Source organism: Homo sapiens, chromosome 19, assembly GCF_000001405.40.
Source record: "Homo sapiens chromosome 19, GRCh38.p14 Primary Assembly".
NCBI classification, from domain to species: Eukaryota; Metazoa; Chordata; class Mammalia; order Primates; family Hominidae; genus Homo; species Homo sapiens.
Genome location: NC_000019.10, coordinates 45,708,054 through 45,733,277, shown reverse-complemented (window position 1 = coordinate 45,733,277; position 25,224 = coordinate 45,708,054). Strand labels below are relative to the sequence as shown.

Sequence of the window (25,224 nt, the reverse complement as noted above, 5' to 3'; positions counted from 1 at the left end):
ACAAGGCCTTGGTCGGCGTGAGCCGCTAGGTGACCAATCAGCGCCCGCTCAGCCACCCGCCTTTTTAAGCGGTCACGCCCCTGCACGACCCGCGTGGTCCAGGGCCGTTGCATCCCAAGTAGGCTGGGTTTCCTCAACTGCCAACTCTCAGGAAGAGAGAGAGAGCGAGCTCGCCTGTGTCCCTTCTGGCCCTATGATGTCCCATTTCCACCTTTTCCCTTCAGTTCGTGATTCATGAGGGCCTCCTGTGTGCCAAGCACCAGGCTAGATGGTGGGAACTTAGCCACTGTCTTCCCAGTACAATCGAGAAGACCGTGAGAACCTCCGAGACCATGAGAATCCGGTGAGACGGGAACTCGGTTAATGCAGAGAACAATACGTTGGGAAAGGATTCAAAGAGGAGGGCCATTTGAATTGGGCCTTCTTGGGAGGACGAGGCGGGCGGATCACTTGAGGTCAGGAGTTCCAGACCAGCCTGGCCAACAATGGTGAAACCCCGTCTCGGCTAAAAATACAAAAATTAGCCGGGCATGGTGGGGCGCGCCTGTAGTCCCAACTACTCCAGAGGCTGAGGCAGGAGAATCATTTGAACCTGGGAGGTGGAGGTTGAATGAGCTGGTATCGCCACTGCACTCCAGCCTGGGCGACAGAGCAAGACTCTGTCTCAAAAAAAAAAAAAAAAAAAAAAAGGAAAAAAAAGAAAGAAAAAGAATAAAAGATTTGGGCTTTTTTTTTTTTTTTTTTTGGTAGAGACGAGGGTCTCACTTTGCTGCCTAGTTTGGTCTTAAACTCCTGGACTAAAGCCAGTCTCCCGGCTGAGATTATAAGCATGAGCCACCGCACCCAGCCTGGAAAATACGTCTTAAGGGGAGATGATCTAACGACCTAGTCAAGAGTAGAAACCCTGAAATCCAATACATTTCAGTTCAAATCGTTTTCTTGGCTGTGTTGCCAGCGACAAGAGGCTTAATCTCTTTCTGCCTTATAAATTTGGGATTGTAATTCCTACCAGGGTTGTCTGTAGGGTGTCTGGCATATAGTTCCGATGCAATAAATATTTACTGAACACATGTTTACGCTGTTCTAGGTGCTTGAACAAGGTACACAAAGATCTCTGCCCTCCTGGAGCTTCTTCTTCTTCTTCTTCTTTTTTTTTTTTTTGAGACGGAATCTCGCTCTGTCCCCCAGGCTGGAGTGCAGTGGCGCGATCTCGGCTCACTGCAAGCTCCGCCTCCTGGGTTCACGCCATTCTCTTGCCTTAGCCTCCCGAGTAGCTGGGACTACAGGCACCCGCCACCCAGCCCGGCTAATTTTTTGTATTTTTAGTAGAGATGGGGTTTCAGTGTGTTAGCCAGGATGGTCTTGATCTCCTGACCTTGTGATCAGCCCGCCTCGGCCTCCCAAAGTGCTGTGACTACAGGCGTGAGCCACCGCGCCCGGCCTTCTTTTATTTTAAGAGGCAGCAGGGTCTCATTCTGTCGCCCAGGCTGAACTGCATGGAGGGCGGTGGTGTAACACTAGCTCACTGCCTCGAACTCCTGGGCTCGAGCGATGTGGAGCTGCTATTCTATGATGTGGACTAACTCCTAATGTATGGGACTTTCCTTCCTCCTAAGGCTTAATTTTCTCATTTGTAAATCAGGAGGTAAGAAAGGAGGGGACGGGCCGGGCGCGGTGGCTCACGCCTGTAATCCCAGCACTTTGGGAGGCCGAGGCGGGTGGATCATGAGGTCAGGAGTTCAAGACCAGCCTGACCAACATGGTGAAACTCCGTTTTTACTAAAAATACAAAAACTAGCCGGGCGTGGTGGCGGGCTCCTGTAATCCCAGCTACTCAGGAGGCTCAGGCAGGAGAATCGCTTGAACCCAGGAGGCGGAGGTTGCAGTGAGCCGAAATTGCGCCACTGCACTCCAGCCTGGGTGACAGAGCAAGACTCCGTCTCAAAAAAAAAAAAAAAAAGAAGGGGATGGATGGGAAGGAGTTTGGAAAAGCACAAGGAGCTGTTAGCTATTGTGTTGATCGGCACAAATGAATCAATAAATTTGCTCTTCCCCAACTCTCCACCCCTCACCAACACCCTATTGCAATATTCTCAATTCCCTTCCCAAGGGCCTCGGGCAAAAATGGAGCCCTCCTGGCTAGACTCCATCTCCCAGCGCGCCCAGCGGGGAAGCACCCTGCGCTTGCGCTGCCAAGTCCTCCCCGGCTTTGTCTCCCGGGAGTTCGAGTCGTTCTTTTCCTCCGCCCGCCTAATTTGCTTCCTACCCCACCTCCAAGCTTGACCGTGCTGCCTTCTGGGGGATGTAGTCCGTGGCTGCCCGGACTTCAATTCCCAGCGGGCTTCGGGACGAGAACCCGGAAGGGGAGGCTGGAGAGGAGCGAGTGGGGGAAACCCGCGTAGCCGAGGGAGATGCAGCGCGCGGCGATGGTGAGAGCCCAGGCGCGGGCCGGGGGCGCTGGAGAGTCGGGACGGGGGTTCGGGACCGGGTGACGAGGGGGAAGAGGCAGGGGCGAAAGAAGGGGCTGGGTGAGGGGAGATTGCCTGGGGGAGAGGACTGGGAGGAATGGGAGCCGGAGGTAGTAGTAGAAGAATGGTGGCTTGGGGAGGGGTCTTGGAGGTGGGGTGGGAGTGGAGCTTTGGAATTGATTGTAAAGGGGCTCAGAGCTGGGGAAGTGGGCCCCGAGTTGGAGACTGGGCTGGACATCCAGGTAGAGGCCCTGAAGGGGTCGATTTCGATGGGGGCTTAACCTGCGGCGAGGGTATGAGGATCAGGGTTAGGATGAGTGAGGGGGTCTGGAAGCTCCAAGGGACAGGCGAACGGTGGACGCAATGGGTTGGGGCCTCTGGATCGGATTGGGGGCAGGAAGGCAAGTTGAGGAGGTAGGAGGGAGAAATCAGTGGTAGGATAGAGTGTGGGTTTAGGCTCCAGGACTGAGGGTGGGGTAAGGAGCGTGAAATTAGGGGCCTGGATGTAGTGATAATTTCCCTAGTCCCGCCAGAGACTCCCGGTAAGCTGGACAGGCACAGAACTGTAGGATAATACGGCCAGAAAGGGCCATCGAGACAGGCTTTCGCACCCTCACTTCCCCGGTGGAATTTAGAAGAGTGTAATGGTTTATCCCTATGAGAAGTACAGCATTCATATCCCCTATTCTTCCACCCCTTTGTGCCATGGACAAATCTGTGAGCCTCAGTGCCCTTATCTGTAGTATGGGAACAGCAAGCATGCCTCTGAGAACAGGGTTAAAGGGAGTCATTAAAATCGTTACTATTAGTGGGAGAGCTGGGCTGTGAAGTTTCAGTCTCAGAGCTGTTGGTGGGAAGTTCTCCGCCCCCGGAATGTGACTGGGTTACAGGTGCTAATGGATTTCCTCCTTTCCAGTCCAGTCCCAGAGGCGTTTTCTCAAAAGCTGGCACTGATCTGGGCACACACCCCAGCTCAGAAGCATGTAGGGGCTCCCCACTGTGGATTACAGCTAACGCTTATTGTTTTACAAAATGCCTGGCCCTGTCCTTAGCTGTTTGTACACATTAACTCATTTAATTCTGATAACACCCCTGAGGGGTAGGTGCTGTTATTTTCTCCATTTTACAGAAAGGAAGCAGAAGTACAGAGAAATTAAGCAACTTTCCCAAGGCTATCCAGCATTAATTGCTAGACTCAGGATTCCGATCTTGGCAGCCTGGCTCAGAATCTGTGCTTTCAGCACTATAATTTAGTCCTCTCTCCATACTGAAATATACAATGTGATGAGTAGAGACAGCGAACAAAGCAGTCTAGAATATTAGTTCTGCCATTTACTTGCTATATGACCTTAGGCAAGTCTTTTATTTATTTTTATTTATTTATTTAGAGACAGTCTCCCTCTGTCACCCAGGCTGGAGTGCAGTGGTATGGCTAACTGTAGCCTCTGCCTCCCGGGTTCAAGCGATTCTCCTGCCTCAGCCTCCTGAGTAGTTGGGATTACAAGCATGTGCCACCACGCCCTGGCTAATTTTTGTAGTTTTAGTAGAGACAGGGTTTCTGCATGTTGGTCAGGCTGGTCTTGAACTCCTGGCCTCAGGTGATCCACCCGCCTCGGCCTCCCAAAGTGCTGGGATTAACAGGCGTGAGCCATTGCGCCTGGCCCTATATTTATTTTTATGGTTTTTTGTTTAGTTTTGTTTTGTTTTTGAGGCGGAGTTTCGCTCTTGTTGCCCAGGCGGAGTGCAATCTTGGCTCACCGCAACCTCCGCCTCCCGGGTTCAAGCAATTCTCCGCCTCAGCCTCCCGAGTAGCTGAGATTGCAGGCATGCGCCACCACGTCTGGTTAATTTTGTATTTTTAGTAGAGACAGGTCTTGAACTCCCGACCTCAGGTGATCTGCCCGCCCCAGCGTCCCAAAGTGCTGGGATGACAGGCGTGAGCCACTGCGCGCAGCCTTTTTATTTTTTTAAAGACAGGGTCTCGCTCTGTTGCCCAGACAGGCTGGAATGCAGTGGCGCAATCATGACTCACTGCAGCCTCAACCTCCTGGGCTCAGGCGATCCTCCCACCTCAGCCTCCCAAGTAGCTGGGACTAATTTTTTATTACACACGGCTAATTTTTTATTTTTATTTTTGTAGAGACGCGGGTCTTACTTTGTTGCCCAGGCTGGTCTCAAATTCCTAGGCTTAAGGGGTCTTCCTGCTTCAACCTCCAAAAGTGTTGGGATTGCAGGCGTGAGCCACCACGCCTGGCCCTGGGCAAGGGTTCTTCTTTTGGGTTCTTCTCACCTATAAAATGGGATCAGTAACCCTAGGAAGGTGAGAAGTTTCGGGAAGATAATGCAGTATAGTGGAACTTACTTTATGAGCCCTTACTCCAATACTTATGGAAGGGCTCAGTACGTGTGAGTTGTTGTTTTTGAATGTCAGTGGGAAAGAGAAGGCAGTAGAGAGGAACCAAGAGGGAAGATGTCAGGCTGTCTCCTTTCTCTCTCATGTTGTCACCATGTCCCTGCCCTCCACCTCTGGGCTCCTAAATCCAATTACGACTTCTGGAGAGTGTGCTTACAAACTCAATCTGTGGGCTGGGCATGGTGGCTCATGCCTGTAATCCCAACACTTTGGGAGGCCATTGCGGGCAGATTGCCCGAGGCCAAGAGTTTGATCAAGACCAGCCTGGCCAACATGGCAAAACCCCATCTCTATTAGCTGGGCGTGGTGGCGGGCGCCTGTAGTCCCAGCTACTCAGGAGCCTGAGGCAGGAGAATCTCTTGAACCCAGGAGGTGGAGGTTGCAGTGAGCCAAGATTGTGCCACTGCACTCCAGCCTGGGCGACAGAGTGAGACTGTCTCAAAAAAAAAGAACAAGGAAACTCAGTGTGTCCCCATTCCCATTCCTGTCCCCGCCAAATACCCAGTCTGGCCTTACTCCAGGTGTTTCAGTGAAGAGAAAATATTTCTAACTAGGTTTTTCTTGTTGTTGTTGTTGTTAGTTTGCTTTTGTTCGTTTAACTTTTGGGTCATTAAGGCCTCATTGGGCAGTTTGACAACTTTGTAAATTCACCTTGAAACAGTTTGGTTTATTGTGAGCTTTCTGGGCTTAATTCATTGGCTGTGATAGTAAGCTTATGGTTGAAAACACTGGCTTCAGAGAGGCGCAGGGTCAAAACCCTGCTTCTGTTGCTGTGTGACCTTGGCCAAGCTGCATTCCCACTCTGGGCCTCAGTTTTCTTTTCCCTTTTTTTTTTTTTTTGAGACAGAGTCTCACTGTTGTCCAGGCTGGAGGCCAGTGGTGTGATCTTGGCTCACTGCAATCTCCGCCTCCCGGGTTCAAATGATGTCTTCTGCCTCAGCCTCCTGCGTAGCTGAGATTACAGGCTTGTGTCACCACGCCCAGCTAATTTTTGTATTTTTAGTAGAGATGAGGTTTCACCATCTTGGCCAGGCTGGTCTCGAACTCCTGACCTCAGGTGATGCACCCTCCTTGACTTCCCTAAGTGTTGGGATTACAGGCGTGAGCCACTGCTCCGACCTCTTTTTTTTTTTCTTTTTTTTTGTTTTGAACCAGGGTCTCACTTTGTTGCCCTGGCTGGCATGCAGGGGCATCATCTTGGCTCACTGCAACTTCCACCTCCCAGGATCAAGGGATCCTCCCACCTCAGCCTCCTGAGTAGCTGGGACTACAAGCGTGTGTCACCACACCTGCCTAATTTTTGTAGAGTCAGCGTTTCACCACGTTGCCCAGGCTGATCTTGAACTCCTGACCTCAAGTGATCCACCCGCCTAGGCCTCCCAAAGTGCTGGGGTTACAGGCATGAGCCCCAGTGCCCAGCCAGCCTCAGTATTCTCATGTAAAAATGGGACCACATTTAAACTCTGAGCTTCTCGTAAGGAGTTGACGTGGTAACTGATGAGGTGGCATATATAAAATGCCTGGGGTGTATTATGCTCTCAATAAGTGTGAGGTCTTTCTATGATTTTTATTCTTTCAAGAAAAGGTACTGAGGCTGGGCAAGGTGGCTCATGCTTATAATCTTGGCACTTTGGGAGGCCAAGGTGGGAGGCTGGGATTAACAGGGTGGCAGGATCAGTGGAACTCAGGAGTTTGAAATCAGCTTGGGCAACACAGGGAAAATTCATCTCTACAAACAATTTTTTTTTTTTTAGACAGTCTCGTTTTGTTGCCCAGGCTGGAGTGCAGTGGCATGATCTTGGCTCACTGCAACGTCCGCCTCTTGGGTTCAAGCAATTCTCCTGCCTCAGCCTCCCAAGTAGCTGGGATTACAGGTGTACACCTCTATGCCCTGCTAATTTTTATATTTTTAGTAGAGACGAGATTTCGTTGTGTTGGCCAGGATGGTGCCAAACTCCTGGCCTCAAGTGATCCACCCGCCTCAACCTTCCAAAGTGCTAGAATTACAGGTGTGAGCCACCGTGCCCAGCCATTTTTTTTGTTGTTGTTGTTAGATGGAGTCTTGCTCTGTCTCCTAGGCTGGAGTGCGGTGGTGCGATCTCAGCTCACTGCAGCCTCAACTTCCCGGGCTCAAGTGATCCTCTCACCTCAGCCTCCTGAGTATAGCTGGGACTACAGTTGCATGCCACTACACACAGCTAATTTTTGTATCTTTTTTGTAGAGACGGGTTCTCACTATGTTGCCCAGGCTGGTCTTGAACTCCTATGCTCAAATGATCCGCCCGTCTTGGCCTTCCAAAGTGTTGAAATTACAGGCATGAGCCACTGCACCCAGCCTCAAATAAATTTTTTAAAAAATTAGTCAGGCTTGGTGGCATGAGCCTATAGTCCCAGCACCTCTGGAGGTTGAGGCGGGAGGATCACTTGGGCCCAGGAGGTGGAAGGTGCAGTGAGCTCTGATTGCCCCATTGCACTATAGCCTGGGTGATAGAGCGAGACCATCTCAAACAAACAAACAAAAAAATCAAAGCAACAACAAAACAAAAAGAAAACAGGGAGAAAAATGCACTCTGGAGTCAGAGTGCCCAACTTTGAATCTGGAAAATGGGGTTCATTCCTTAAGTAGTCCATGTGTTTATTTATTCATTTTTATTTAAGTTTTTGAGACAAAGTCTGGCTCTATTGCCCAGGTTGGAGTGCAGTGGTACAGTCTCGGCTCCCTGCAACCTCTACCTCCCGGGCTCAAGCCATCCTCCCACCTCAGCCTTCCAAGTAGCTGGGACTGCAGGCGCACACCACCATGCCCGGCTAATTTTTAAAAAAATTTTTGTAGAGACAGGGTTTTGCCATGTTGCCTAGGCTAGTCCTGAACAATGAGACTCAAGCTGTCGACCTGCCCAAACTGCTGGGATTACAGGTGTGAGCCACCGCACCTGGCCCACAAGTGTTTTAGTTATTTATTTATTTGTTCATTTATTTTTTGAGACAGGGTCTGGCTCTGTTGCCCGGGCTGGAATGCAGTGGCACTATCTTGGCTCACTGTGACTTCCACCTCCTGATCTTACGCCATCCTCTCACCTCAGCCTCCAAAATAGCTGGGACTACAGGGGCATGCCACCACACCTGGCTAATTTTTGTAATTTTTGTAGAGATGAATAATACATGCTGCCAAGGCTGGTCTCGATCTCCTGAGCTCAAGTGATCTACCCACTTCAGCCTTCCAAAGTGCTAGAATTACAGGGTTGAGCCACCGCAGCCTATTTATTTATTTAGAGACAGGGCCTGTCTCTGTTGCCCAGGCTGGAGTACAGTGGTGCAGTCACAGCTTACTGCAGCCTCAAGCTCCTGGCCTCAAGTGATCCTCCTGCTTCAGCCTCCAGAGTATCTGGGACTGCAGGTGCTTGCCACCATGCCCAGCTAATTAAAAAAAAAATTTTGTTGTTGATGGGGCACAGTGGCCTCATGCCTGTAATCCCAGCACTTTGGGAGGCCTACATGGGCAGATCTCTTGAGGTCAGGAGCTTGTGACCAGCCTGGCCAACACGGTGAAACCCCATCTCTACTAAAAATACAAATTAGCCAGGCGTGGTGGCGTGTGCTTGTAGTCCCAGCTACTCGGGAGGCTGAGGCACAAGAATCACTTGAACCCCAGGAGGCGGAGGTTGCAGTGAGCTGAGATTGCACCACTGCACTCCAGCCTGGGTAACGAGCAGGCCTCCGTCTCGAACAGAAAAAATAAGAAATTTTTTTTTTGTAGAGACAGGGTCTTGCTATATTGCCCAGGCTGCTCTCAAACTCCTGGACTCAAGTGATCCTCCCACTTCGGCCTCCCAAAGTGCTGGGTTACAGGCATGAGCCACAGAGCCCAGCCCACAAGTGTTAATAGAGCACTTACCATGTGCCAGCGCCTGTATTGGGTGCAGACTCGACCCTGCCATTGGGGAACTTGCTGTTGTCATAATGGTAGGGCAGTTCTGCAAGTATGCGAGCATTTGTGCTCATTTTCAAGTTTGGGTTTCTCTATTCCCAATTCATTTTCAGCCCCTTATGCCAGCTTGGCCTGCTTGTCACTGCTTTCATGGATTTTTTAACATTCTGTCTCCAGCCCTCATTGAATTATCTGAAAACCTATTGGTTTGGGGAAAAGTTGCCAGTCTCTCACTTGTCCCTGATCCTATGTGTCACATCTGGCCACCCTGGGGTGATCTGACACTTTTTTGTTTTCCGTTGCCTTCATTTATTTGTCTTAGAGCATTTGTCTGCTTTCCAAGTTATTTTGCCTTTTCTTGAAATCTTAAATTTGTTTTCAGCCTGTGCTTGTCTGAAGCTTACTCATACAAAATGGTATTTTTACCATCTTTATTTCAAAACCTGTGACATGTACTAGGAAACGAAGAAAAAAATTGTATTTTTTACCACGTTTAATGATGTATTTCTAACTGCTATGGTAAAGCTGTCTTACTCCTAAAAGCACAAGTTTTCTTTTTTTTTTCTTGAACTCCTGAGATCAGGAGTTCAAGACCAGCCTGGCCAACATGGTGAAACCCTGTCTCTACTAAAAATACAAAAATTAGCTGGGCGTGGTGGCGCACGCCTGTAGTCCCAGCTACTCGGGAGGCTGAAGCAGAAGAATTGCTTGAACCTGGGAGGCAGAGGTTGCAGTGAGCTGAGATCATGCCACTGCACTCTAGCCTGGGTGACAGAGTGAGACTGCGTCTAAGAAAAAAAAAGAAGAATTAGTTGGGCTTGGCGGCCAAGGAGGTTGAAGCTACATTGAGCTGTGACAGAACCACTGCACTCCAGCCTGGGTGACAGCGTGAGATCATCTCAAACAAAAAGCAAAACAAAACAAAAATAAAATGAAAAAGCCAGAGTGCCCAGCTTTGAGTCCTGGCTTCACCTCTCATCAGCTGTGTGACCTAGGGTAAGTAATTTGATCCCGTTGGACGTCAGTTTCCTCCTCTGGAAAATTAGCGTTCATTCCCTAAGTAATCCACAAGTGTTTCATTCATTTATTTACTTAGAGACAGGGCCCACCTCTGTTGCCCAGGCTGGAGTGCAGTGGCATGATCATAGCTCACTGCAGCCTCACACTCCTGGGCCCAGCGGATTCTCCTGTCTCAGCCTCCCCGAGTAGCTGGAACTACAGGCTCATGCCACCATGCTCAGCCAATTTAAAAAATTATTTTAGAGATGTGGTCTCACTTTGTTTCCCAGGCTGGTCTTGATCTCCAAGGCTCAAGCGATCCTTCTGCCCTGGCCCCCCAAAGTGCTGGGATTAAGGCATGAGTCACCACCCACAGCCTTCACTTTCAATTTTTATGTTTAATTATTTATTTTTTTGAGATGGAGTCTCCCTCTGTAGCCCAGTCTAGAGTGCAGTGGCACAATCTCAGCTCACTGCAACCTCCACCTCCCAGGTTCAAGCGATTCTCCTGCCTTTGCCTCCCGAGTAGCAGGGATTATAGGCGCCTGTCACTATGCCCAACTAATTTTTTGTATTTTTAGTAGAGACAAGGTGTCACTATGTTGGCCAGGCTGGTCTCATCCTGACCTCAAGTGCCCGCTTCAGCCTCCCAAGGTGCTGGGATTACAAGCATGAGTCATCACACCCAGCCCACTTTTTTTTTTTTTTGAGACGGAGTCTGGCTCTGTCGCCCAGGCTGGAGTGCAGTGGCGCAATCTCGGCTCACTGCAAGCTCCGCCTCCCGGGTTCACGCCATTCTCCTGCCTCAGCCTCCTGAGTAGCTGGGACTACAGGCGCCCGCCACCACACCCAGCTAATTTTTTGTATTTTTAGTAGAAACGGGGTTTCACCGTGTTAGCCAGGATGGTCTCGATCTCCTGACCTTGTGATCCGCCTGCCTGGGCCTCCCAAAGTGCTGGGATTACAGGTGTGAGCTACGCCTCAGTGCCAAACTGGTACCAGGTGCTCTGCTGGGTTTGTTTCAGCGGATGGTCAGCCAGCCCATGGGTGGATGCTGTCATTATTGCCATTTTACAGTGGGGGAAACTGAGGCACATGGGGCTGAAAAACCTGCCTGAGGTCATACTGCCAGAGGTGGGAAAGCTGGGATCCAGCAGGCCCTGTCTGGTTCCTGTCTGCTTCCAGGATCTCAGGGCTTGGATGATTCCTGCCTTCAGGGACCATTAGTCAGAAAGGAAAACTTAAAAGGGAGGGGACCCAGTGGACTCTAAGGCCAACAAGCCATGGGTGAGGTATGGATGAGTCAGGATTCTGGACAAAGGAGCAGCAGGGTAGGGCATAGAAGGAACAGGGACCGGGCGCGGTGCATCATGCCTGTAATCCCAGCACTACGGGAAGTGGGTGGATCATCTGAGATCAGGAGTTCAAGACCAGCCTGGCCAACATGGTGAAACCCTGTCTCTACTAAAAATACGAAAATTAGCCGGGCATGGTGGCAGGTGCCTATAATCCCAGCTACTCAGGAGGCTGAGGCAGGGGAGGTGGAGGTTACAGTGAGACGAGATCGTGTTACTGCACTCCAGCTTGGGCAACAGCACGACTCCATCTCAAAAAAAGAAAAAAAAAGGGTGGGGTGGTGCCGGGCGTGGTGGCTCACGCCTATAATCCCAGCACTTTGGGTGGATCACGAGGTCAGGAGACCGAGACCATCCTGGCTAACATGGTGAAACTCTACTAAAAATATAAATAATTAGCCGGGTGTGGTGGCGGGCGCCTGTAGTCCCAGCTACTTGGGAGGCTGAGGCAGGAGAATTGCTTGAACCCACGAGGCAGAGGTTCGAGTGAGCCGAGATCGTGCCACTGCACTCCAGCCTGGGTGACAGAACAAGACCCTGTCAAAAAAAAAAAAAAAAAAAGGAACAGGACCAGGAACGAAACCCTGGTGTCCTGCCACCAATTCCCATGTAACTGGGCAAGTGCCTTGTGCTGGGTGTGACCCTGGCCCTGTGATGGGGAGCGGGGTCATCTGACTAGGGGTGGGGATGGGGAAGTGGGGTGGGGTCAGACATCTACGCTTTACCATTTATCATTATTTTTCCATTCTTTCTTTCTGTTTTGGTGTTTTTGAGCCAGGGTCTCGCTTTGGCACCCAGGCTGGAGTGCAGTGGCAAAATCTCAGCTCACTGCACCCTCCACTTCCGGGCTCAAGCGATCCTCCCACTTCAGCCTCCCGAGTAGCTGTGACTGCAGGCACATGCTGGCTAATTTTTGTATTTTTAGTAGAGACGGGGTTTTGCCATGTTGCCCAGGCTGGTCTCAAATTCATTGGCTTAAGCGATCTGTCTGCCTCGGCTTCCCAAAGTGCTGGGATTACAGGCGCGAGCCACCACACGTGGCCTATTTTTCCTTATTTGTTTGGTTTATTCTGTTGTTTTTTTCCCCGCTTCACTTCTTTTTTTTTTTTTTTTTGGCTGAGAGTCTTGCTCTGTCACCCAGGCTGGAGTGCAGTGGTGCAATCTCGGCTCATTGCAGCCACGCCTCCTGGGTTCAAGCAATTCTCCGATTCTCCTGTCTCAAGCTCCTGAGTAGCTGGGATTACAGGAGCCTGCCACCACATTACAGGTGTGAGCCACTGCGCCCAGCCAGGATGATGTTTATATTGTAGTTTAGACCTTGAGCTCTGGAGTCAGCTGATCTTTGATTCTAAGTTCTGACTTGGTGTGGTTGCTCCTGCCTGTAGTCCCAGCACTTGGGGAGGCCAAGGTGGAGGATTGCTTGAGTTCAAGAGTTCAAGACTGGCCTAGGCAACATAGTGAGACCTCATCAGTACAAAAAAATGTAAAAATTAGCTGGGCGTGCTGGTATACACCTGTGGTTTCAGCTCCTCAAAAGGCTGGGATAGGCTGGGCACAGTGGCTCACACCTGTAATCCTAGCACTTTGGGAGGCTGAGGCGGGTGGATCACTTGAGGTAAGGAGTTCAAGACCAGCCTGATCAACATGGTGAAACCCTGTCTCTACTAAAAATACAAATATTAGGCCAGGTGCAGTGGCTCACGCCTGTAATCTCAACACTTTGGGAGGCCAAGGTGGGGTGGATCACCTGAGGTCAGGAGTTCGAGACCAGTCTGGCCAACATGGTGAAACTCCATCTCTACTAAAAATGAAAAAATTATCTGGACATGGTGGCGCACACCTGTAGTCCCAGCTACTTGGGAGGCTTAGGCAAGCAAATCGCTTGAACCGGGAGGCAGAGGTTGCAGTGATTGCAGTGAGCCGAGATCGCACCGTTACACTCCAGCCTGGGCAACAGAGCAAGACTCCGTCTTAAAAAAAAAAACAAAAAAGAAGGCAGCTGAGATGGGAGGATCACTTGAGCCCAGGAGATTGAGGCTGCGTTGAGGCGAGATTGCACTCCAGCCTGGGTGACAGTGAGACCATCTCAGAAAACAACAAAAAACAAAACACACACTCACAAAAACAGAGTTCTGCTACAAAGCTATAAATGAGGGCAATTACTTAGCCATTCTCTGCCTCAGTTTCCTTATCTTCAACACGAAATTAAAAATAGGAGATAGAAGAATCAAACAAGTTCATATTTGTAGAGTGCTCGAGTATTGACTGCTGTTGTGATTATCATTTTCTAATATATTCATGTTGGTTCTGACTGTTTGTTTGGATGTCTGACCCCTTTCCCATGAGCCATTCCTGGGGAGCTCAGTGTCACCTGTGTGTTCCAGCGCCCAACAATGGCCAGCATGCAGGACCACAGTGAATGTCAGAGACAAGTTTTTGCAAATGCACCATGTATGTATGTATGCTAGGGATGTAAATATGTGGATTATTTAATTGTTGGGGGCATTCAACCAAGGGTGTAGATTGAGTGGTTCAGGTCCTTACTAATTTTCCCAAGCAGTCTTTTCTTAGAAATATGTTGTTTTCCCATATCAATTGTGGATTTAACAAACTTTCCCTTGTCATTTGTAAGTTTATGGCTGTCATGTGTAGAGATGGTCGTTTTTTGCTTTATCTATTTGGAAGCCATAGTATTTGGATCATGTATGTTGAGAACTTTTGTGTATAATGGGTCACTTCCACCTCCCTCCCCCAGCCCTAGGGACTCATGTAGAGAAGTAAATAATTGGTCATTTTGTTTCGTCATCATCCATTGCTTTTGTCAGTTTATTTATTTTTTATTTATTTAATTTATTTTTAATTTAATTTAAGACAGTCTCGTGCTGTCACCCAGAGTGGAGTGCAGTGGCCTGATCTGAGCTCACTGCAGCCTCTACCTCCTGGGCTCAAGCAATCCTCCCACCTCAGCCTCCTGAGTACTTGGGACTACAGGCACGTGCCACCACACCCTGCTAATTTGTGTATTTTTTGTAGTGATGGGGTTTCACCATGTTGCCCAGGCTGGTCGCAGACTCCTGAGCTCAAGGGATTGTGTCCCCCCTCTGCCTCCCAAAGTGCTGGGATTACAGGTGTGAGCCACCGTGCCTGGCCAAGTTTTTTTTTTTTTTTTTTTAAGGGGTAATGTTACTCCTCTACTTGTCTCTTGGTTCGTGTTTTCCCAGCCAGTTTTTTGCCGTCTTTTGATTTTCCATATTTTTGGTTCACAATGTTTTACAATGAATAGATTTTCATGGAGTAGTTGCTGAAGGCTGACCTAGTGTAGGGCCTTATGCTGGGCTCAGTGTGGGGGAGTTAGAAGATCCTGTCTCAGGCCTGGAGAGAGACCCACCCCAGACGATGACCCAGAGTAGGCAGGGAAGAGGGAACCCAGAGGTCCCCTCTGGGCAGGTGGGTGATTTCCAGGAAGGGAGTTGGAGAAGGCCTCTCTAATAAAACTGCATTTGAACACAGACCTGAATGAAGTAAGGAATTGAGCCTTGCAGAGGGGGAATGTATTGCAGTTGGTGGGAACAGCAAATGCAGAGACCAGGGAAGGCAAGAGCCCGGTAACTTTGAGGAATAGACAGCAATGAGCCCACCGCATGGACGCCCTGGGTGAAGCCTGACCTGGCCTAGGGGGATTGGGGGTGTCAGCTTCTTAGAGGAGGGGTGGTCGAGCTGAAACCCCAGGGAATATATAGTGAAACAGTAGGGCACAGTGACTAGGAAATCAGATTCCCTGGCTTCATATCCCTGCTCCAGCTCACACTCCAGCTCTGTGTGACCTTGTGGTCAGGAGACCTGCCCTGCGTCAGTTTCTTCATCCATACCGTGGAGACGATCACTCCTACCGGGGATCAGATGGGTCCTGAGTATTCTATGTATGCCAGATCAGGTGCCCACCAGGGTGCACTGGGGTATTGCCTGCGGGGCGGAGGAGTGGGGAGGGATGCGACTGGACAGGTGGGGTACCTGGGTGTTTTCCAGAGGGCACTGGGGAGCCATGGCAGGTTCTCACCAGGATAGGGACGGGTTCAGGTTTATAGGACTGTGCTTTAACAGGACTTTTCTGGCTGCTCTTTTGTACTAAGTGAGGCAGGTTTGGGGCGCCTGTTTGGAAAGGCTGAACTGGCAGCTCCGAATGGCTACACGGCTTGAGCCTTGAACGCCAGGCCTAGAGGCTTGTTTTCAGTTGCCGTGGGAACCTTCGTAGGGTTCTGTCCATTTGTTTTTCAGGGTGGGGTTATCCCGATGCCCAATTCCCCCCGCGGAAATCCTCAGCCCGCCCCCCGCCCCCACAGTTCCCAACCAAAGCTGGATACTCTGATCTCTCCGCCTGCTTCCTTCCGCCTTGGTGTTCTTAATCCCCGGGCTGCCTGGCCCTTTAAGTCTCAAGCGTCAATCAGGGCTTCTGTTCGAGGGGACGTGGTGTAATAAGCCTCCCCTGGAGTGTCGTGGCCTTTGCCCTGACCTTGTTCCGTTTAGCTGGACGTTGGGAGTTGTTCCACGCTCCCTTGCATCCGGCTGTGTCTACCCCACCACCCACTCCCATCACCTCTCGCCTACTCCTCCCTATTTCGAAGTTGGGCCCCTTCGCCAAGGCCTGCCTTATATGGGCACGGCCCCGAATGGCGGCCGCTCATTGGCTGAGAGCGTCACGCGCGCGTCTGTCAACAAAAGGGCGGAGGGAAGCTAGTTGCTAGTCTGCCCGCGCGGTGGCCGGAGGGAAGGAGCGAGGGGGCGGGCCCTTTTACCTTTCGCGCGCATGCGTGTGGGCTGCAGCCTTCTCCCGCCGCCTGGGGGGGCTGCGGGTGAGGGCTCTTTGGGGGCGTGTGTAGGTTTCGAGGGTCACCTGAGGGGTTTGGAAGATTTCTTTGGGGGGGCGGTTACAAGATTTGGGGGTTCCTTTTCCATTTGCAAAATGTTCTGGGGCTTGGGGAAGTTTTAACGTGGGTTTAGGGGATACTTTTGGGGTTCTCTCGCGCTTAAGGGGCACCTTGGAGTTTGGGTTCGTTTGTAATGCGGAAGGTTCGGTTGTGTTTTCGGGATCGGGTTCCCTTTGTGTTTTGGAGTGTTTGTTGGGCATAGAATTTGGGGAGCTCCCGGAGAGACAGAAGCAAAGAGCCCGAGAGTACCAGTCCTGGAGGTGGAATGTCTGGGCTCGCGTCTTGACTTCCTACCTGTCTTAACCCGGACAGGAGATTTCACCTGTGTCTCATCGGGAACTAGGCATTAATAACACTACCTGCTTCCTAGGGACCGAGGAGGATTAGGAATTGTTAGCGCAGTACCTACCTAGTAAGCTCGCAGCGAGCGTGCAGTAAGCACATGTCTGCTATTGTAACATTTGTGAGGTTTCTTTGTTTTTTTTTTTTGGCTTTGTGAAACATTTTTATGGTTTAAGATTCATCTTAAAGTGTTAGGGAGCTTTTGTGTTTTCAAAGAGTTCGTCTGCTGTTGGAGGCTTCTAGTGGAATTGGGAGATAATGGAGGAGGGTTGGGGGGAGTATAGGATTCCGGGAGAGTGATTGTTTATGACATAGTTTGGGGAATTGCTGTGTTGGGATCTGTGAGAGATTGACTGAGATTCGGCCCTTCAGTGCTGGAGAGGATATTTTTAGGTTCGGTGGTTTAAAGTAGTATTTGAAAGCTTTTCGATATTTGGGGGAGGACATTGAGATGCTGGGGGTAAGGTTGGAACTGATTAGGGGACTTGAGGGGGTGGCCAGGTTGTAGCAGGATGGCATCTGTAGAGACTGGCTTTTGCTGTGTTAGCCTGCCTCCCTGGGCAGTTGGTTATACAGGTCAAGTATCCCTTACCCGAAAATCTTGGGACTAAAAAGTGTTTCGGATTTTGGATTTCTTCGGATTTTGAGTATTTGCATTATACTTATCAGTTGAGTATGCCAAGTCTGAAAAATCTGAAATGCTCTAATGAGCATATCCTATCAGTGTCATCTTGGCACTCAAAAAGTTCTGAATTTGGGAGCATTTTGGATTTTCAGATTTGAGATACTCAACATGTATGTGAATTGGTGGTTGGTAAACAGCCATCTATAGGTTTTGGAGGCTGTGGAGTGATATTTTTAACACTGAGCTGAGATTACAGCAGGGACTGTAAGTATTTGAGGGGTAGGTGGGATTGGGGATTATGGAGTGGAGATAAAGATTCTTGACATGGGGATTCTCTGTGTTTACTGGTACCTGTGAGTGCTTGGAGGCTGTCTGGATTTTGTTTTGTTTTCTTTCTTTTTTTTTTTTTTTTTTTTGAGATGGAGTTTAGCTCTTGTCGCCCAGGCTGGAGTGCAGTGGCAAGATCTCAGTTCACTGCAACCTCCGCCTCCCGGTTCAAGCTATTCTCCTGCCTCAGCCTCCTGAGTAGATGGGACTACAGGCGCGCACCACCACGCCTGGCTAATTTTTGTATTTTTAGTAGAGACGGGGTTTTGCCATGTTAGCCAGGCTGATCTCGAATTCCTGACATCAGATGATCCGCCTGCCTCGGCCTCCCAAAGTGCTGGGATTACAGGTGTGAGCCACTGTGCCAGGCCTGGAATTGTTTGAATTTAGAGGGATGGTCTGTACTGCAGGAGTTGGCAAACTTTTTCCATAAAGAGCCAGATAATGGGTATTTTAAGCTTTGCAGGCCATGTGGTCTTTGTTCTGCTATTCAGCTCTGCTGTTGAAGATGAAAGCATCCATAAACAAATGAGCATGTTTCAATAAAACTTTATTTACAAAGACAGCGAGCTGGATTAGGCTTCTGGGCCATAGTTTGCTGACCTCTCTGGCCTGTAGGCATGTGGAAGTTTCAAGGTTTAAAGGGTCATTTTGGTTTTGAGCTGTCTGGAGGGAGATGAGCCAGAGAAAGATTGAGGCATATGTTACTTAGTAGGTTCAAACTGCAGTGAAAGTGATCATGTCGGACTCATGCGCAAGATTGCCTCCAGATTAGGTCATTCACATCAAGTCATTCCAAAATAAAATAGTCATTAACAGAGCCCTAAATTGAAGAGTCCAGAAATCAAGTTGAGAGCCTCTTTTTGCTCCGGACCCACTGTAATCTTAGCTATGTCACCCTTCCCCACTCTGAGCCTCTGTTTATCTGTGTGCAGCTTGAGGAGAAAGCTAGGCTAGAACAGGCACCCTCGTGTTTTCTTTCTTTTTTTTTCCCAAGATGGGTTCTCTCTCAGTCACCCAGGCTGGAGTGCAGTGGTATGATCACAGCATCACAGCTCACTGCAGCCTCCACCTCCTGGGCTCAAGCGATACTCCCACCTCAGCCTCCCAACTAGCTGGGACTACAGGTGCGCCACACCCCACCCGGCTAATTTTTGTATCTTTTTTCGTAGAGATGGATTTTGCCCAGGCTGGTCTCAAACTCCTGGGCTCAAGCAATCTGCCCACCTCGGCCTCCCAAAGTGCTAAGATTACAGGCACAAGCCACCACACCCGGCTTTGTTCTCTGTTTTTTAGAGGGTCTCACTCTGTCACCCGGGTTGGAGTGCAGTGGTGCCATCATTGCTCCCTGCAGCCTGGAACTCCTCCTAGGCTCTAGAACAGGCCCTCTTACTCCGCGGGTCCACGGCTGTGCTTTAGGGAATCCCCTGTACTGTCTTTGCAAGGGTGTGCATTTTTCTGACTGAGGACACACAGCTTTAATAAATTCTCATTAAGCCCCACTACCTGAAAAAAAAAAAGAAAAGCCGATTTCTTAAGTGCTTGTCTGAATCTGACCTCAGATTTTCATCCCCATCCCAGCGCATTTCGTTCCTCTCTCTGTGGGTTTAAGCAGCCATAGCTGTGGGTGGGGCTGGGAATTTCTGTCTTTTCAGGAACGAGCTACTGAGTGAGCAAATAGAAAAAGGACCTTGTCTGTCAGTGGTCCTTTCACTTAAGTGTAAAAGTTATGGCAGTTTAAAGGCCTCTGGATTGTGGGCAAAGGCAGTTGGACAGTGGGGTAGGACCTATGGGGTTGGTGCGTGCTGCCAGTTAGGGTCCCGCTCTGCAAGTTAAAAGGGCATCTCTCATCCCCTCTGCAACCTCTGTCTGCTCACCTGAGCATGGCAGTGGGAATAGAGTTCTTTTTTTTTTTTTTTTTTTTTTTGAGACGGAGTTTCGCTCTTGTCGCCCAGGCTGGAGTGTAATGGTGCCATCTGGTCTCGCTGCAACCTCCACCTCCCAGGTTCAAGCGATTCTCGTGCCTCAGCCTCCCAAGTAGCTTGGATTACAGGCGTGGACTATCACGCCCAGCACATTTTTGTATTTTTAGTAGAGATGGGGTATCACCATGTTGGCCAGGCTGGTCTCAAACTCCTGACCTCAGGTGATCTGCCCACCTCAGCCTCCCAAAGTGCTGGGATTACAGGCGTGAGCCACCGCGCCCAGCCAGGAATAGAGTTCTTGATGGTCTGGTTTGGTCTAAGGAGAGGTGGAGGTTGGGGTGGTCCTGGGAAGAAAGGCTGTCCCCCTAGCTCCCCAACCTCCTCTTCGTGTCTCCAGGTGGCATGTGGAGCCTCCCACCACCACCTAGGTCCTGAGATGCGCTGAAGCCCAGCCTGTCTGCCATCATCCCCCAGCATGGACCGTGGGAGCCTCCTGCCCTTCCAGCTATGGTGCCCCCGGCCCTTTGGCACCTACTCACAGAACCAGCCACGCCCGCCTTCTGCGGCCCTCAAGCCATCAGCCTGCCCTGAGCCTGGTGGCGGGGCCGAGCCAGACCATGGGCCTGCCCACTCAGAGAACACACCACCCGCCTTGGCCACTGAGGTCCCTGCCTCCCAGCCGGCTCCGCTCCTCTCAGCAGCAGCTGCTGGTGATGAGGGTCGAGTCCTCCTGGACACGTGGTATGTCATCAAGCCCGGGAATACAAAGGAGAAGGTGGCCTTCTTTGTGGCCCACCAGTGTGGTGGGGGCAGCCGGGCCAGCTCCATGAAGGTCAAGGGGCACTGGGGCAGCGATAGCTCCAAGGCCAAGCGGCGGAGGCGCTGTCTTGACCCCACCAAGGCTCCTCCTGACCCAGGGGGCCGGGAGGGCCCCCCTGCTGCTGAGGAGGGCCCCGCCTCAGCCGGTGAGGACGTGGACCTGCTCTCTGTGGCCGAGATGGTGGCCCTGGTGGAACAGCGGGCAGCCCTGGCCCTGCAGAGCTACCCACGACCGACCACCCCAGCGCCTGTAGTCTTTGTGTCCGCCGAGCAAGGTGGACCGGCCAAGGGGGTGGGATCTGAACGGCGGTCCGGTGGTGGGGACTGCAGCCGTGTAGCCGAGGCCGTGGCCCACTTTGAAGCGCAGAGGGACAGCCCTCCCACCAAGGGCCTCCGCAAGGAAGAGCGGCCCGGGCCAGGCCCTGGGGAGGTGCGCATCGCCTTCCGCATCTCCAACGGCCGGGAGCCCCGTGCACCAGACAGCGGCCTGCCCAGTGGGGGCGGGGGCAGGCCTGGTTGTGCCTACCCTGGCAGCCCAGGTCCTGGGGCCCGAGCCAAGGACAAGATCACATGTGACTTATACCAGCTCATCAGCCCCTCGCGGGATGCCCTCCCCAGCAACGTGGAGTTCCTGCTGGCCAGGGCGGATGAGGCCAGTGAGGGTGACAGCCCGGCACCCGCCAGGCCTGAGGACACTCCCCCGGCGCCCCCTCCGCCCCCTGCCCGGGACTGCGGAGCGTCAGGCTTCCACGTGGACGTGGTGGTGACGGGCGTGGTAGATGAGTGCATCTTCTTTGGCAAGGACGGCACCAAGAACGTGAAGGAGGAGACTGTGTGCCTGACGGTCAGCCCGGAGGAACCGCCGCCTCCGGGCCAGCTCTTCTTTCTCCAGAACCGCGGGCCGGACGGGCCCCCGGAGCCACCCCCGGCCGACTCCCCGGCCACTGCGCCCGGCCCAGACGATGCCGAGGGCACGGCGGACACCTCCCTGTGCCGCTTGTACCGGCACGTGTCGCACGACTTCCTAGAGATCCGCTTCAAGATTCAGCGGCTGCTGGAGCCGCGACAGTACATGCTGCTGCTGCCCGAGCACGTGCTGGTCAAGATCTTCAGCTTCCTGCCCACGCGCGCGCTGGCCGCCCTCAAGTGCACCTGCCACCACTTCAAGGGCATCATCGAGGCGTTTGGCGTGCGGGCCACAGACTCGCGCTGGAGCCGAGACCCGCTCTACCGCGATGATCCGTGCAAACAGTGCCGCAAGAGATACGAGAAGGGCGACGTGTCGCTCTGCCGCTGGCACCCCAAGCCCTACCACCATGACCTGCCTTACGGACGTTCCTACTGGATGTGCTGCCGTCGAGCCGACCGCGAGACTCCCGGCTGCCGCCTGGGCCTCCACGATAACAACTGGGTGCTGCCCTGCAATGGGCCAGGCGGGGGCCGGGCCGGCCGGGAGGAGGGGAGGTGAAGCCGGGGGAGGGGAGGGGAGAGCCCACCACGCCCACCCCTCCCCTCTCCCCCCGGGAGCCGAGGGTCCGGACTGGGCCGCCTGCCCATTCCCCTACTCCAGGCAGCATTGATCCCTCACCGGAACTGAGCTGGGGTTCAGCAGGGGTGACCCAGGAAAGCCCTCTGCTTGATCCTGTTGATTTTCTACTCTTCAGAACCAGGGCCGTGGACCCTCTGAGAAGGGTGTTTTTTTTTTTTTTATCAGCATCTCACTTTCTTCTCCATTCAGCCCCAACCCCCTCCCTGCCATGCTTTCCACCCCAAGGACCCACCAGCAGGGAGCAGACGGCAGCTAATTTTGGTACCACTTAAGGGTCCCCCCATTCTGGCCCCCATCCTCTCCCTCACCCCAATTCTTTCTCGCTGGAGCTGTTATTTCCCAAGAAGCCGCATCGCCCAAGGTTGGCACCTCTCCTAACCTGCCACACGACAGCTCTCACCTCTCTAGGAATTGGGGGCTGTCAGGTCACAGGTGGGATCTGGCATTTTTTTATGACAGTCCATTTCTAGATGGTTTGCCTATTAAAGAAGTGGGGGGGAAATACTGTTTTCTCCTTAACCTCAAGCTACCAGTCTCTCCTCTTCCGCGTAGAGGAAGAGGGGGGCAGACAAAAAAAAAGCTGAAGTATAAAAACCCTCCTCCTCCCGTTATTATTTAAGCTACTGCCATCAACCCCACCCCCATAAAGCTGTGAAGCCCTTTGCCTCGCTTTTGACAGCGTGGGGGGGCCCCGTGGGCAGGGACTTCGGATTTGCATTTCTGGGTTGTTTTTCCTTCCACTCTGGGGTCTCGTTCAGGCATTGGGGTCTCCTCACCCCAGCCACATGTTTCTTTAAGAATCCTTTGGTCAACCAGGACCTTGATTTTTCAGGCATTTTGGTCTGGGGTATTTTTGTTTGTTCTCTCTGTTTTTTGTTTTCTTTTTTTTCTTTCCATCGTGGTTCTGGAAGCTTCTAGCGTGTGGCATCTGACCAATTTTGAATTGGTCCTTTCTATAAAATCAATATTTATAAGGCTGTGTGCAGACTGGTTTGTGTGTTGTGAAGGGAGGGTTTGGGAAGAGAGGGGAGTTGTAGGCCTGTGTATGGGGGATGGAAAAAGTGGAAAGAGAAGGGATCCCTAGCCAAGTCCCTTAGCCTGAGATTATTTTTTACTCTTCTCATCTGTGTCAATTTGGATTTGAAAAATCTCAAAATAGTAGTAGCTTGAACAAGATTTTTTTTTTTTTTTTTTTCCCTTAGAGACAGGGTCTCTCTCTGTCACCCAGGCTGGAGTGCAGTGGTATGATCACAGCTCACTGCAGCAACCTCCTGGGCTCAAGGAAACCTCCCACCTCAACCTGCCAAGCAGCTGGGTTTTCTACAGGTGTACGCCACATACCCAGCTAATTTTTAAATTTTTTTTTTTTTTTTTTTTGAGTCGGAGTCTCACTCTGTCGCCCAGGCTGGAGTGCAGTGGCGGGATCTCGGCTCACTGCAAGCTCTGCCTCCCGGGTTCACGCCATTCTCCTGCCTCAGCCTCCCAAGTAGCTGGGACTACAGGCGCCCGCCACTACGCCCGGCTAATTTTTTGTATTTTTAGTAGAGACGGGGTTTCACCGTTTTAGCCGGGATGGTCTCGATCTCCTGACCTCGTGATCCGCCCGCCTCGGCCTCCCAAAGTGCTGGGATTGCAGGAGTGAGCCACCATGCCCAGCCAAGATTATATTGCTTTTACTATCACCATTTTGCTGGAAGGGAGGCCCCCTTCCTCCCAGAAGCACTACACTATGCTTCTATATACATCTCACCCGTCAGACTTAGCCACAGAAGGGCTGCATGAGTCTAGGAAATGCAGTCTTTTAGCTGGGTGCAATATGCCCAACAAAACACTCTTTACTAAAAATCCCTGTAATTAAAGTTTTTAAATAGCCACTTAATTTTTTATTTATTTATTTGAGACAGTCTCAATCTGTCACCCAGGCTGGGGTGCAGTGGTGTGATCTCGGCTCACTGCAACCTCTGCCTCCCGGGCTCAAATGATTCTCCTGCCTCAGCCTCCTGAGTAGCTGGGATTACAGGTACTCGCCACCACAGCTGGCTAATTTTTGTATTTTAGTAGAGACGGGGTTTCACCACGTTGTCTAGGCTGCTGTCGAACTCGTGGCCTCCAGTAATCCACCCATCTCAGTTTCCCAAAGTGCTGGGATTACAGGGATGAGCCACCACGCCCAGCTGGATATCTTAAATTTTCAGTTTAAAGGAAGGGAAAAATGGATATTGAGAGGCAGCTAAGTCTCTGACATTCTTCTCCGGAAATCAGAATTTCCAGAGGACTAGGATACATTATGGTAGTGATTCAATGCTTAGATTTTAGAATCAATAAGACCTGGGTTTGAATCTTGTGGGGAGGGTGAGTTAGATTATTCGGACCTTCCTGTTGAGAACAACTGAAAAAAAAATGCCCTTCAAAGGATCAAATAGCCAATAAAATACAGTAAAGACCCACCACGCCAAATAGTTAAGAGAATGATATGTGGGAGCCGGGCGCGGTGGCTCACTCCTGTAATCCCAAGCACTTTGGGAGGCCAAGGCGGGCGGTTCGAGATCATCCTGGCTAACACAGTGAAACCCCATCTCTACTAAAAATACAAAAAATCAGCCGGGTGTAGTGGTGGGTACCTGTAGTCCCAGCTACTCGGGAGGCTGAGGCAGGGGAATGGCGTGAACCCGGGGAGCGGAGCTTACAGTGAGCCGAGATTGCGCCACTGCACTCCAGCCTGGGAGACAGAGCAAGAATCCGCCTCAAAAAAAAAAAAAAAAAAAAAAGAATGATATGTGGGGCTCTGAAGCCACATTTGCTCTCAGGGTGTTTGCTGATGTGGACACACTGGGGTTTCCTACTTGGCAGCCTTACTGGAAGGAGCAGGCAAAAGTCAAGTCCAAAGCCAGCCCACAGTGAGCAACTGCAGGAACTGGGATTCCAGAGAGCTACAAGCTCAGGTAAGGATGACCCGGAAGACTGAAGAGGTATTCAAGAGGCAGAAATCAAATGAAAAAAAAAGAAAGATTCTGATAATCTGTGGTCACAGACTGGCCCTCGGCACAGGTTCGCAGCCAGGTTCACGTCCTGTGTGATACAGGGTACTTCTAGCTGACATGTCTGGCAGAAACAAACACAAGTCCACCTGTGGAAGGAACTGTCATCTAGAAGCCCCACAAATATTTTTGTTTGTTTGTTTTGAGATGCAGTTTCGCTCTTGTTGCCCAGGCTGGAGCGCAGTGGCGCGATCTCGGCACACTGCAACCTCTGCTTCCTGGGTTCAAGTGATTCTCCTGCCTCACCTGCCAAGTAGCTGGAACTACAGGTGCGCACCACCACACCTGGCTAATTTTTTGTATTTTTAGTAGAGACAAGGTTTCACCATGTTGGCCAGTCTGGTCTTGAACTCCTGACCCACCTTGGCCTCCCAAAGTGCTGGGATTACAGGTGTGAGCCACCACGCCTGGCTTTTTTTTTTTTTTTTTTTTTTTTTTTGGATATGGAGTCTCACTGTTGCCTAGGCTACGGTGCAGTGGCACAATCTCAGCTCACTGCAACCTCCGCCTC

The 25,224-nt window shown here is 51.2% G+C and overlaps 1 protein-coding gene across 6 annotated transcripts, besides 10 other annotated features; it reads left to right on the top strand.

The window, feature by feature from the left end:
• Nucleotides 1–100: 100 nt before the first annotated feature.
• FBXO46 (F-box protein 46) lies at nt 101–22,649 on the top strand. Of its 6 annotated transcripts, XM_047438538.1 has the most exons (3): nt 2,382–2,429; nt 9,393–9,805; nt 19,705–22,649. In XM_047438538.1, the coding sequence occupies exon 3, from the start codon at nt 19,783–19,785 to the stop codon at nt 21,592–21,594; it is 1,812 nt and encodes a 603-aa protein (XP_047294494.1). In that variant the 5' UTR covers nt 2,382–2,429; nt 9,393–9,805; nt 19,705–19,782; the 3' UTR covers nt 21,595–22,649. The 6 variants fall into 6 exon arrangements, with proteins under 6 accessions (NP_001316562.1, XP_047294494.1, NP_001073938.1 ...); NM_001329633.2 differs by lacking the exons at nt 2,382–2,429; nt 9,393–9,805 and adding an exon at nt 101–343; NM_001080469.2 differs by lacking the exon at nt 9,393–9,805.
• Nucleotides 2,055–2,184: an enhancer, noted in NCBI's record as "active region_14817". NCBI's record gives its function as "activates an Ori minimal core promoter by ATAC-STARR-seq in GM12878 lymphoblastoid cells {active_cell/tissue: GM12878}" and the evidence as "EXISTENCE:reporter gene assay evidence [ECO:0000049][PMID:35858748]".
• Nucleotides 2,275–2,384: an enhancer, noted in NCBI's record as "active region_14816". NCBI's record gives its function as "activates an Ori minimal core promoter by ATAC-STARR-seq in GM12878 lymphoblastoid cells {active_cell/tissue: GM12878}" and the evidence as "EXISTENCE:reporter gene assay evidence [ECO:0000049][PMID:35858748]".
• Nucleotides 3,233–3,527: a silencer, noted in NCBI's record as "tiled region #6016; HepG2 Repressive non-DNase unmatched - State 2:TssF". NCBI's record gives its function as "represses a minimal TATA promoter and a strong SV40 promoter by Sharpr-MPRA in HepG2 cells {active_cell/tissue: HepG2}" and the evidence as "EXISTENCE:reporter gene assay evidence [ECO:0000049][PMID:27701403]".
• Nucleotides 10,913–11,207: a silencer, noted in NCBI's record as "tiled region #14243; K562 Repressive non-DNase unmatched - State 14:Gen5'". NCBI's record gives its function as "represses a minimal TATA promoter and a strong SV40 promoter by Sharpr-MPRA in K562 cells {active_cell/tissue: K562}" and the evidence as "EXISTENCE:reporter gene assay evidence [ECO:0000049][PMID:27701403]".
• Nucleotides 10,913–11,247: a biological region, named in NCBI's record as "Sharpr-MPRA regulatory regions 3721 and 14243".
• Nucleotides 10,953–11,247: a silencer, noted in NCBI's record as "tiled region #3721; K562 Repressive non-DNase unmatched - State 14:Gen5'". NCBI's record gives its function as "represses a minimal TATA promoter and a strong SV40 promoter by Sharpr-MPRA in K562 cells {active_cell/tissue: K562}" and the evidence as "EXISTENCE:reporter gene assay evidence [ECO:0000049][PMID:27701403]".
• Nucleotides 12,128–12,628: an enhancer, noted in NCBI's record as "H3K27ac hESC enhancer chr19:46223908-46224408 (GRCh37/hg19 assembly coordinates)". NCBI's record gives its function as "activates a minimal SCP1, AML or CMV promoter by ChIP-STARR-seq in primed H9 embryonic stem cells {active_cell/tissue: H9 hESC(primed)}" and the evidence as "EXISTENCE:reporter gene assay evidence [ECO:0000049][PMID:30033119]".
• Nucleotides 14,981–15,651: an enhancer, noted in NCBI's record as "NANOG-H3K27ac-H3K4me1 hESC enhancer chr19:46220885-46221555 (GRCh37/hg19 assembly coordinates)". NCBI's record gives its function as "activates a minimal SCP1, AML or CMV promoter by ChIP-STARR-seq in naive H9 embryonic stem cells {active_cell/tissue: H9 hESC(naive)}" and the evidence as "EXISTENCE:reporter gene assay evidence [ECO:0000049][PMID:30033119]".
• Nucleotides 15,489–15,538: an enhancer, noted in NCBI's record as "active region_14815". NCBI's record gives its function as "activates an Ori minimal core promoter by ATAC-STARR-seq in GM12878 lymphoblastoid cells {active_cell/tissue: GM12878}" and the evidence as "EXISTENCE:reporter gene assay evidence [ECO:0000049][PMID:35858748]".
• Nucleotides 15,652–16,322: an enhancer, noted in NCBI's record as "NANOG-H3K27ac-H3K4me1 hESC enhancer chr19:46220214-46220884 (GRCh37/hg19 assembly coordinates)". NCBI's record gives its function as "activates a minimal SCP1, AML or CMV promoter by ChIP-STARR-seq in naive and primed H9 embryonic stem cells {active_cell/tissue: H9 hESC(naive and primed)}" and the evidence as "EXISTENCE:reporter gene assay evidence [ECO:0000049][PMID:30033119]".
• Nucleotides 22,650–25,224: the final 2,575 nt, after the last annotated feature.

What these genes read in the sequence shown, in the direction of transcription:
- FBXO46 (NM_001329633.2), top strand. Translation starts at nt 19,783, where the DNA reads ATGGACCGTGGGAGCCTCCTGCCCTTCCAGCTATGGTGCCCCCGGCCC.